Source organism: Homo sapiens, chromosome 10 (genome assembly GCF_000001405.40).
Source record: "Homo sapiens chromosome 10, GRCh38.p14 Primary Assembly".
NCBI classification, from domain to species: Eukaryota; Metazoa; Chordata; class Mammalia; order Primates; family Hominidae; genus Homo; species Homo sapiens.
Genome location: NC_000010.11, coordinates 5,733,802 through 5,745,178, shown reverse-complemented (window position 1 = coordinate 5,745,178; position 11,377 = coordinate 5,733,802). Strand labels below are relative to the sequence as shown.

At 38.2% G+C, this 11,377-nt stretch overlaps 1 protein-coding gene across 5 annotated transcripts in view; it reads right to left on the bottom strand.

Moving 5' to 3' along the window:
• The window catches only part of TASOR2 (transcription activation suppressor family member 2), a 78,903-nt gene that overhangs the window by 18,562 nt on the left and 48,964 nt on the right, over positions 1–11,377 (bottom strand). For 4 of the 5 annotated variants that reach the window (NM_001321783.2, NM_001321784.2, NM_017782.5 and 1 more), the window contains 3 exons: positions 9,633–9,875; positions 4,682–5,561; positions 2,653–3,082 (listed from right to left, as the gene is read on the bottom strand). In NM_001321783.2, the coding sequence (NP_001308712.2) occupies positions 2,653–3,082; positions 4,682–5,561; positions 9,633–9,875 (1,553 nt within the window). The remainder of the gene's footprint in view (positions 1–2,652; positions 3,083–4,681; positions 5,562–9,632; positions 9,876–11,377) is intronic. The other variant, NM_001321785.2, reaches the window with a different exon arrangement.

Genomic DNA, 11,377 nt, shown 5'->3' with positions numbered 1-11,377 from the left:
AGCAGAGCTATCATCTCAGGACAGTTCTCATAACCTCATAAACAGGGTGGTATTTGTTTTTTGTTTTATTTAAAGCCTCAAGCATGGCCTTGTCGAGCATATAATAAAATGAACTGATTATACAACTGATCACACCCCTCTGCAATGCTGGGAACACCATGCTCACAAACTGCGTGCCATGTCTTGAAGCATACATGTTGGAAATCAGGAACTGTGTTCCAAATCTCTTGTTAAAAACATTTCTGTCTTAGGTAGGGCACGGCTTCTCACGCCTGTAATCTCAGAACTTTGGGAGGCTGTGGTGGGCGGATCACTATAGGCCAGAAGTTCGAGACCAGCCTGGCCAACATGGCGAAACCTAGTCTCTACTAAAAATACAAAAATTACCCAGGAGTGGTGGCATGCACCTGTAATCCCAGCTACTCGGGAGGCTGAGGCAGAGTCACTTGAACCCGGGAGGCGGAGGCTGCAGTCTCAAAAAAACCAAACCAAACAAACTCATTTCTGGCTGGAGCAGTGGCTCACGAGACTCTGTCTCAAACAAAACAAAACAAACAAACCAACCAACCATTTCTGGCTGGGGGCAGTGGCTCACGCCTGTAATCCCCAGCACTTTGGGAGGCTGAGGCAGGTGGATTGCCTAAGGTTAGGAGTTATAGACCAGCTTGGCCAACATGGTGAAACCCTGTCTCTACTAAAAATACAAAAATCAGCCAGGTGTGGTGGCAGGCGCCTATAATCCCAGCTACTAGGGAGGCTGAGGCAGGAGAATCAGTTGAACCAGGGAGGTGAAGCTTGCAGTGAGCCGAGATCGTGCCATTGTACTCCAGCCTGGGAGACAAGAGTGAGACTTCTCAAAACAAAACAAAACAAAACAAAACAAAAAAACAGAGTCAACAGTGTGGGGCTGAGACAACAGAGTTTTAAGAGAACAAAGTATTAGAAAAGTCTTGAGAGTCAGTGTCCTTCTGAGAACTTTAATGGCCCTCCCAATCATGTGGCTGGTAACGTTTAGCCTCAGTCCTAAATCTCACCATGACTGTAGTCTTAGTGAAATGCAAATAGTGACAATCTTGATATATTTCTATTTCGATATATTTTTACTACAGGTAAAGTGTAATGCTTCTAAAATAAAGTCTGACAATTCAGAAAGAGTGCTCAACTCAACACATGACTAGCAGCAACATGCTTTTGGTTTCTAGTGCCTATCATGCTAGAATCCTCTTCTTCACATTCCAGTGTGCCAACTGGTGGAGGGAGTGCGATAGCACACGTGTGCCTTTCAAGTACAGGCACAGCATTCAACAAGATGACAAAAAAACAAAAGCCTACGTAAGTACATACTAAGGAGATTGTTAGGAATCACTGATTTGAACAGTCAGGCTTGCCAAAATCATTGCTAAAATTAGTACTGATGATAGTTAATTACATATTACCACGACAAATGGTATTTTATAAGAAACTAGCATGTATATATGTATTAATTTAAATCTCCCTGACTAGACTATATTTTCTTATTCTAAGGTGGTGATTCTTAACTGGATTTTATGTAATTCTTTGAGAATAGGATGGAACTGCTGAACCCCATCTTTAGGGGAAAAAAAAAGCACATACATAGTTAACATTTAGGTTTTCTAGACTGGAATCTTGGCTTGACAATTTTCTATGTGACTTTAGGCAATTTCTTTACTTCTCTATGCTTTAGTCTCGTCATCTATGTAATGGGGAGATTAATAGTCTTTAACTTATTTGAGAATGAACTGAGTTAATATGAGTGAAGGGCTTAGAACTCTTACTTTCTGGCACACAGTGACCCAGAAATCTTTAATTCTCATGATGATGACAATCACTTGAAGATATTCACGGGTTCTATGAGGCTCACCCAAGGACCTCCAAGTCCCCGGTGACCCCGGGTATAGGAACACTGTCTACTCTTTCTTAAGACAGGAATCAGAGATGCTGCCCAAACCCAAGCAATATTATTCTAGAATAAATTTGGGCGGAAAACTTTAAAAGGTAGGTAATTTTGTCAATTCATTTGCTTAGAATTTTGTTAACAACTTTTAGATTTGCTCCAGGTAAAATTTGGATTATCTGGCCTGGTTGAATGTCAGTTGAGAACAAGGAACAAAACAAAGTATATTTTCCATATTTACAAATAGTTATTTGCAATGGGTCTTCTTTCACAGGTCTGGCATTTTACTATTCCAGCATCTGTCTTCAAAAATAATTTTAATACAATTAATTTTAGTTTACTTTAAGGTTTATCAAAGTATATCTAAGATTTATTATTGCTATATTTGATCCTTAAACAATATTCTACATAAGACTTGATAGGTATTAAGTCACCTCTTTTAAAAATTAGGCAAAGAAGCAATTTGCCCCAAATTATGCTGGGCTCCCAGATCATGTGGACCCTGTGACATTTTTCTACTCTGGTTTTTTTCAATCGGGATGGCAGGTAAGCTCTACCTGCAGACAATTCAAGGACACTTCATGAAAACTAGGTTTTTGGTGTAATAGTTCTTTACATACCTTGAGAATTCACTGTCCTAAAATTTAAAAATGCCTTGTTTTGAATGTGATTTTACATATAAACATTTTTTTCTTCAAAAATAATGCCAACATTTAACGGTATTCAGCTTTACATACCTCATTATTGTAAGAACAGATGAAATTCTGGTCTTCTTGGGTGTCTGGATCACACTCTCTTGCAAAAGTTTTTTTCTGTTCATTTTGTACACAGAGTTCCAAGCCTTGGGTAAGTGGTGTTTTAATGAAAGGAAGCAAGCAGTTAGGATCACGGAAGGATACTTCAGCAGCATGAGCCCTGGAAATTTCGTTAGTCTCCAACAGAGAGTCTGCAGAACATTTTTCCAAACCAAGGGACTCCTCAATTTCACGGAGCTCACAAGATTCTAACGTGCTATTTATAGACACATATTTTGCTGGGTTGCTGTGTTCTACAACCTTTCGGGAAGATCGTATGATTTTGTTCTGATTGCTGTAAAACAGAGCTACCCACATATGAAGTAAAAGCTTCACTTCTTCCACATTATCAGGCAAATCAGTATTCCAGGGCCTAAGAGTTTACAGAAAGAACACATGAAAATCATTGAAAATGGTTATTTTAGTTGATTACCTTATCATAAGCAAGTGCCTCCAATATTCCTTAGTTTTTGTTTTTATTTTTAAAATTTACAGATATGAAACATGAATGAGTAAATATGTAGTTGACTTAACAAATAATTATCCATCTAACCCACTCATTTTACAGAGACGGGAACTGAGAATCAGAACATGTAATTGCCTTCTTTCAAATCACAAAACCTGTATGGCAGAACCATGATCTGAACATGGGTAGCACGTGTCTTTTACACCATACAAATTCACTCTGGACACAGAATACTTATTATAGAAATGGTTTCGCCAATACCCAAATCCTCATCACCATGCTTTTGCTAAGTCTGGCTGATTCATTTATTTTCCATTTTTGTGTCTCTCTTCTAATAATTGAGAAAGTCTGAAGATAAAATATCTCTCTGGGCAATTCAACAGAACTATACTATTTTCAGACTACAGTTCTGCAAAATATCCTGAAACAGTAAGGGGAAATAGAAAACATTTCTGGCCACCTGGCAGGCAAAAGGATGGCAGATCGCTGGAGTACCATAAGTCAGGGGGGCTGCAGAGTTGGGCAATAGCTAAACAGGAAGTTCTAAGGAAATGACCCTTATGAGTATATATGAACAGGTGTATAGAAGAAAGCCTGACAGCTGTAGAGTCCATATAGTCAGATGTGAAACAGTTCATTAATAGGGAGCTGAATGTCAATTCATATAGCTAATGAATGCTTGCTAACAGTGATGGTTACCATTTATTACTACTACTGGCCAGTCACTGTGCATCTCAATATATGTAACCTCAGGACACAGCTACATAATTAAATGTTGGCCACAGACTGTCATCCACCATTGATATCACCTGAAAATTTGTTAGAAATGCAGAATGTCAGGCCTCTCCCAAGGAGAATGCATCAAAATCTGCAGTTCAGTGAAATCTCTAGATGAGCAGCACACACAATTAAGAAGCACTGTCCAGAAGCAAGAAACTTGCCCAGGATCACAGGAGGTAAGAAAGGGAAAGAACCCGGGTTCAAATCTAGGTTAGTCTACACTCCAAAGCCTGTGCTGTTCACCACTCTGTTATTACTGACTTGATTCCTTCTTAAGGGAGATCTATAGAACAATCTTATGTGAAACTGCTTACTCCTATCAATCTGACCAATTTACCAAGCTACAGTGATTTTTAAAATGTTTCTTCTGGAATTCAGTCTGTAAAGCATTATTTCTAAATCTCACACTATTTTACATTAAGATCTCATCTAAAAATTGAAATTCAAAAGCCACAAGGGCTTACGAGGGAGCATTGCAAAATGGAAAGCTATTCATTAGGCTAAAATTATCTTTAAAAACTTCTCCACATGAGCACAGGGGGAAAACCAGCCTGTTACTCTTAATTGCCAGGAAACATGTTTGCTTGATGTTATTATCAAATTACTGGTTTTAAACACAACACTTCTTTCTCCTTCTCCAGAGTTTGGCATAAGTTTCCCCATCTCACTACATTCATCTCAACAGAAAAGTTTCATCCATTTTCACTAAGTTTCACTCATACTCACCCATGTAATGCTCTTACTACAGTTTTCTCCAGTGGGTTGTTGGTATATTTGCTGTCTAAACTGAATGCATATTCTGTTTCACATTTGAAAGTGATCTTAACGGAGTCATCACAGCTAAGCACTATACGAGAGCAAGAAGATTTTTTCACACGGGCAGACGGTGGTCGATCCTTGGGCTTCACCACGGGGTCGTCAGGAGGCTTTTGCTGAAGCAAAAGGCCGGGCTGATGCCGAAATGGCATGACTTTCCCCACTGGGGTTGCTGCTTCAGGGCTTTTTGTCCCATTCCTGGGAAACAGAGGGCTTAGTATCTCTCTCTCCTGTAGATGTTTCTTTGAATGTTCTGTAAGGAGCAGGGCATATGAATGTTCCACAGAAACAGAAGAGCTTTGGCTTGCATCTGAAGATTCTAGCATTTCCTCAGTAAGTGCTGACTGGGCTTTAGCAGGGGCCTGACTACAAGGAACCAAGCTTTCTTCATCTTGGCTAACTGTTAAGTCTGATCCAGAATTACTCTTCCTATCAGAAGATGGGTTAGGTAGTAATTCACCTTTTTGAGTTTTAACTCCTCTATGATATTCATGGTCAGATGTACCTCGCAAAGAATTTTCTTTAGAGAGCAAAACATCATTTTGTGGCAATTCAGAGGAACAGTGAAGATTTCTAGCCTCAGATACTGGTGTGGAAGAAGTAGCAGAGCTTAATGCTAGATCGGCTAACATATTTAGGGCCTGGGAGTCATAGTTGACGATGGAGTTTTCAGGAAGATCATTGTGAGCCGCTGTGGTATTTTCTGGTTGAACACTATTTATGCTAATCCCATCTTCTTGACAACCTCTTGAAATTTCTGATTGAAGCTTTGAAGCAGTTTCTCCTTTGACTTCAGTATAAAAGAAAAAAAAAAGAGAGATGTTTGCTTGTCATAGAATTAACTCTCTGCCATATTACTATGATGGTTAATTCAACATGTCTGAGAAAAACTTATGTAACATATATTGCATATTAAAATTTTCTATTAGATTAAGGTCTCTTCCAACCCTCAGATAAAACTTATGTTATACATATTGCATATTAAAATTTTCTATTGGATTAAGGTCTCTTTCAACCCTCAGATTATAATGTGTTAAACCAGAGGGACAAGTCTTAAGGAATGTGTACATTAATTTAGAAAGAAATTATCCTTCAAAAACATATGAACTGATCTACACAGAAGACATACAGCTCAGCTCAAAAAATGTACAAACAAAAAAACCCAAAAAAGATGAGAGTCCTGCCCTTGGGAGCTTACAATCTAATAAGGACAGGAATGTAGAAGTTTCAAGTGTGTATGAGTTTGCTAACATACTTTCTCAGGAACCATTTCCCTGAACAAGCGATTTATTAGAGAAACTACCTAAGTTCAAATGATTTTAACTATATTGATCTTTAATTACATGATGTGATAGAAATAAAAAATTAGAAAAGTCCTAAGAGTATTCAGAATCATCAATTAATTCCATTACCTTTTAAAATTTTACTTTCATTACCAAAAACATTGACCTTTTACATTATCCAAGAAAGAGCAAATCTACTGACAATGTTCCCTTTTACAGATAATCAAATCTATCCATATGCCCTTAATCAGAACATTTACATTTGCCAGTGGTTTCCCTTGGTATTTTCAACGTATTCATTATTCCTTCCTAAATGCTGTTATTATGAAGGATAAACTTCACAACTCTGCTAGGCAATGATTCCCTGCTGCAGGTAGACAGATGACCAGAAAAGCCAACTATGTTCCTCTTTATCATAGTAGCAGGTCCAAAATGAATTAACAACCTGCCAGCCAAGGCCAATGAGTAACACATTTAAAGAGAAGACAGCTCCAGCCTATGATGTCATCAATTAGAACGACAAGGGCATGCACATACATGGGGAAAGGGTTAAACTGATCAACGACTGCCCAGTTTTTATTTAAAACAGCAAACTCAAAGGGGACAGGTGGATGAAAAGGACCCAAAGCAGATAATTGTCTTGTTAGTCCCACAGGTATACTGGAAACATAAAATTAATTTTGTGATCTGATGCTAATTTCATTCTTTGTTAATATTATGGCCTCCATCTACTTATCCCTTACACAAAATATTACTTACCAGTAAGGCCTAATATAAAAGATACTGTATTAAAATAAAGAAAAATGGTAGTTTAACATATTATAGTCTCACATAAATCACCCAGTTATTAACGTGTTACAGGTTCCCAATTAAAAAAACACCACCCATAATTTCTATTTAAGACATACATAAGACAATGCCAAAGGAACTACATTAAAAAAAAGTTCAGTGAATAAAAAGGACAGAAAATCATGTTTCATTAACAAAAGGACTGTCTGACTTCAAAATTATCATTTGATTCTAATTTAAATCAGTAATTTGCAAACTGAGGTCAATGTGGCTATGTTTCATCTGCCTTCTTAAACGTTGATATTTTAAGTATAAGAAGTAAAATGATTAACATAGGTGCTTAAGAAAAAAATTCAGAGATTTAAATGTAGTCATTCAAAAATGTTAACTTGGAATGTGGCTGCACAATACCTACAGACATTTGCAATACAAATCAGCCTGTATTTGAACACACATTTTGAAACTTTAAATTTTCTGGGCTCACTTTTCTGCCAGTATGCAATTATATACCTCCTCGCATTAATCAATTTGTCAATAAACATCTGAAGCCAATTCAGTACAAAGAATGCAAATGACACTGCTAGGAACACAAGATGTTACCTATTCTCATGTTTACAAATTGGAAAGATTGGACCAAGACATGTCAGATGAATTGAAAACAGTATGAATTAAATTATAGAATGTTCTCAAATATCCCAAAGAAGTGAGAGATTAGTTACAGTCACAACATGAGAAAACGCCTCCCTGTGGGGATAAATCTAGCTGCAGGCCCCTGAAGGGCAGAGGTTGCCTGGGGGAGGCACAGAGGGCCGCAGGGGAAGGAGCACGGTGGCAACAGCAGAGGCACAACGCAGAGAGGGGAGGTACAGCCACACCATAAACTCCCGAGAGGGACAAGCAGAAGAGCTCAAATCTGGTATGGAAGCCAAAACTGCAGCATATGGGTTTTTGAATGACATGATGAGCTTTTAAAAAAATCTTCAGTCATAAAACAATCTGAAAAAACTTAAAGAATCTCAGGGTATGCTTAAGTTGAAAAAAAAAACAAAAAAACTAAAAAAAACAAACCTGGCTGGGCGTGGTGGCTCACACCTGTAATCCCAGCACTTTGGGAGGCCGAGGCAGGCAGAGCATGAGGTCAAGAGGTCAAGAAGTTGAGACTATCCTGGCCAAAATGGTTAAACCCCATCTCTACTAAAAATACAAAAATTAGCCAGGCGTGGTGGCATGCACCTGTAGTCCTAGCTACTCGGGAGACTGAGGCAGGAAAACTGCTTGAACCTGGGAGGCAGAGGTTGCAGTGAGCCGAGATCGTGCTACTGCACTCCAGCCTGGTGACAGAGTGAGATTCTATCTCAAAACAAAACAAAACAAAACAACAATCCAATTTCTTTCTCTGAATTCTCACTCTCTGTGAGATAGTAACATCTAGTAATAGATGAGGGAGAAAGTAGAATCAGGAAAACCAGACAGAAAACTCATAGAAAGATAGGAGAGAATGAAGTCTCTCCGTTAAACAAAACAAAAAAAATACACACACACCACAAAAAAATCAATACCAAAGGGAAAAAAAATTAAGGAAAGTAGATCCAGGAGGAAAGCTGGTATTTGTCTCACTAAGGTGACAACAAAACTTTCTAGTACAGAGGTTATATCTAGCAGTTGAAAATACAAAACTGGAGCAGTTCATGTGACTAAACTTGATTCTTTACTTAAGCAAAGTTAAATCAGTAAAACTACTTTTAAAATTAATGCCTTTTAAAACCAAATACAGGATTCTCAGCCAGGCATGGTAGCTCATGCCTGTAATCCTAACACTTTGGGAGGCTGAGCCAGGCAGGATCACTTGAGCTCAGGAGTTCAAGACCAGCCTAGGCAACATGGTGAAACCCCGTCTCTCTCTCTTTTTTTTTTTTCTGAGACGGAGTCTCGCTCTGTCGCCCAGACTGGAGTGCAGTGGCGCGATCTCGGCTCACCACAACCTCTGCCCCCCAGGTTCAAGCGATTCTCCTGCCTCAGCCTCCCGAGTAGCTGGGATTACAGGCATGTGCCACCACGCCTGGCTAATTTTGTATTTTTAGTAGAGACAGGGTTTCTCCATGTTGGTCAGGCTGGTCTGGAACTCCTGACCTCAAGATCCACCCACCTCGGCCTCACAAAGTGCTGGGATTACAGGCGTGAGACACCGCGCCTGGCCAAAACCTGGTCTCTGTAAAAAAATACAAAAAAATTAGCTGAGCATGGTGGTACGTGCTTGTAGTCCCAGCTATTTGAGGGGGCTGAGGTGGGAGGAGCCCTTGAGCCCAGGAGGTCAAGGTTGCAGTGATTGTAAAGTGAGACCCTGTCTCTAAATAAATAAAACTAAATACAGGATTCTGGATTACTGACAGTTTTGGACAGTCTGTTTATAATTCCCTTTAGATAAACTTATAATCTTCTATTTTTATAATTGATAATGGTCTAGAAAAATAATGCCAGATACTACTTGCTTCTGCATTTAGTCATAAATAAGGCCATTTATACTTTAATGCTTGTAGACAATTCATGTTCAGGCTTTTTGCAAAGTAAAAAGTAGGCTCTATGTTTTTGAAGGTTTGAGCTTTTGTACCTTCCTAATTTATTTACATTAGGAAACCAGTTTACTTAGTTTTTTTAATGTCTGAACTGAAAAACACAGAAAAAATTATTGGGACATTGCAACTGCTCTTACACTATTTCAATAAATTATCTTGCACTCTCTGTTAGATCTGTATTGGGGTGTTTAAATTTATAGGAAGAGTATTTCTTACCAGGTTGTAGCTGCTTTCTGTTTCTGGGGTTCTCATTGCCTTTTACTATATTTACTCTCTGTTTTTGTGGAGATTTCTTCACAGGTGGCTTAGCCCTTGGAACAGTTTTGACTGGAGATTTCTCTTGTTTCCTTGCCCTTTTAGCATTTGTTGGCACTGGAACATCTTTAGAAATAGGAGCTTCTTGGTTTTTCCTATCCAATTTGGTTTTCTGTACAAACTGTGCAGTCAGCACTTCCGCACCTTATGTAGAAAAGACATCATTTTTGTAAGGGGTAGGGGCCCAGATACTTAGCATAGCTTTTCCATTTTTTGTTTTGTTTTGTTTTTATTTTGGGGACAGTAACTTTAGTAATGGGGAATAAACTATGAAGTTTCAGGTATTTAATTAAAAGATTTTAACAAATCAAAAGTTAAACATTCTCACATAAATATAATATGAACTTGCTAAGTGTCTGCCTATATCCCTATCAGATGAAGAAGAAAAAGATCAGAGTAATAACTTTGTAACAACTGAAAAAAAAAGAAAAACAAACAAACAAACAAAACTTTGGGCTGGGAGTGGTGGCTCACACTTGTAATCCCAGTATGTTGGGGGGCCATGACGGACGGACTGCTTGAGCCCAGGAGTAGGAGACCAACCTGGGCAACATGGCAAGACACTGTACAAAAAAATAAACAAATTAGCAAGGAGTGGTGGCATGTGCCCATAGTCCCAGCTATTCGAGAGGCTGGGGTGGGAGGATAACTGGAGCCCACACCACTGTACTCCAGGCTGGGCAAGAGTGAGACCCTGTCTCAAAAAAAAAAAAAAAAAAAAAAAAAAAAAATCTTCATAACCTTTCCTGACTAATGTGACAGGTAAGACTGAATATGCTAGATCACAGCCCCAGGATATAGATATTTCTGTTTAAACAAACAGCAGCACAGCTTCCATAAGGTGAAGTGGTTAAAACTATAACCACACTGCAGAGAAGAGTTGTATAGACAGCAATATATTTGGAGAGCCATATTATATATTTTACGTTACTACTTGTAAACATCTAAATTTTAATACCATCTGAAAAACAATCTTTTAAAAGATGGGAAGCCTGAGGAAAGTGTGCACCTGGTTTTATTTCTAACAAATCTGCTATCTTACACAATGATGACTCTTAGAAGCGCTCTGGGAAGCCTGAGGAAAGTGTGCACCTGGTTTTATTTCTAACAAATCTACTATCTTACACAATGGTGTCTCTTAGAAGCGCTCTGCTTTGCTTCTCACATGGCATAAAAATAGCTAAAGGTGGAGCTAAAGGATGGGAAGAAAAAGGAAATACTAAACACCTGCTTATAATGCACAACAGAAAGTGTTTCAATCTTTTAAGAGTTAAAATTAAGCCTCAAAGATATCATATGAAATAATCACACATTTAATGTTGGCAAATATTTTTAAATTACATTATACAGAAGACGCTACTTCTCACTAAGGACACTAAAAATGATATTAAACAGTTTAAGAAACTGATCAGTGTTAGTGAAATGTAGGAGAAAAAAGGAGACCCATTTCATTTCATTCTTTTGGGGGTTAGCGAAATGAATAGTTTTAAAAATGTTTTCAGAATATCTTAATGCTGTACATTTCAAGTCTGATTATCTTCCTCCCTACCAAATTATTATATTAATAAGTACTAAAGCAGCGTATTTTTTTTTAACAATAAGACTTCTTATTACACTCTAATTACATTTTCTAAAATCTTCAGCAT